At 38.3% G+C, this 1,028-nt stretch overlaps 1 non-coding gene across 1 annotated transcript; it reads left to right on the top strand.

Annotated features, from left to right (window-relative positions):
• The first annotated feature begins 454 nt into the window (after positions 1-454).
• Positions 455-589, top strand: LOC124900197 (U8 small nucleolar RNA). Its single transcript, XR_007059146.1, has one exon. It is a non-coding gene; the product is annotated as a U8 small nucleolar RNA (small nucleolar RNA).
• Positions 590-1,028: the final 439 nt, after the last annotated feature.

Raw genomic sequence — 1,028 nt, 5'->3', positions numbered from 1 at the left:
CATAAATATAATCAACATTACCTTAAACTTCACCTTGTTCCTGAAGTAATATGAGACCTTGGTTGAGGAGGATACAAGGCATTGTGAAGGTGAACAAACCAAAAAGCATTTAAAATTGCTTCCTTTTGCACATAGAAATTTTTCTCTTCTCTGGCCAACCCCTCCCAATTTGAGAAAAAGCTAAATTAACTTTTTTAACTTACAAGAATGAAAAAGTACTACAATGGGATGTGGGTATTACTTGGAGAGGTACAGTATAGGAATACATTATTTGATACCCAATAGCGAACACATTAGCCGTTCCCATTTGCAAGAATCTGAAATCTATGATTCGAGATCCTGGTTCTAGCATCTCTGACTTTCCCTGCCCCTACGTGGTTATTCTTACATTACTAACCTCACAATTAAGTACTGAATGTGTTGACATCATATTTCTGTACAGAATGTTATTTCATCATCAGGTGGGATCATCCTTACCTGTTTCTCCTTTTGGAGGGCAGATCAGAACATGATGATTGGAGAAGAATGAAACGTGATTAATAACTCTGTGTAATCAGGCCTTGCAGCACCCCAATTGAGCCTTTCTGATTCTTCCTGATAATCTATTTTTAAAAAAGAAAAAAAAGAAGAATATCTCCCTTTGAGTTGTAGGTAGGAAGGTAGACGAGAAGTCTGAGAAGTATCAATTCATTGTCCTGATAATTACCATTGACCTCTAGCTTCCATCAAAACCATTTCAGAACTCAGGGACATTTTCAGGATTCAGGGAGAATCCAAGTTGAATTGAGTTTGTTTCTGTATCACTGACCAGCAATGATGTTGAAATGATTGATACAGTCTATTCCGCAGATAAAGACCTTGTTATGCTACTAAAGGTGACTGCTACCTTCAGGCAAAGGGCTTGGTGACAGAGTCAGGCAGATCTGGGTGATAAGCTTCACCCTAACCAAGTACTGGTTGTGTGAAACCATGGATGATTGCTCTGTCTCACTGAGCTGAAAAATATCTAGCTCCTAGGACATAGTTAA

Source organism: Homo sapiens, chromosome 5 (assembly GCF_000001405.40).
Source record: "Homo sapiens chromosome 5, GRCh38.p14 Primary Assembly".
Classification (NCBI taxonomy): domain Eukaryota; kingdom Metazoa; phylum Chordata; class Mammalia; order Primates; family Hominidae; genus Homo; species Homo sapiens.
This window is presented reverse-complemented; position numbering and strand designations above follow the sequence as displayed.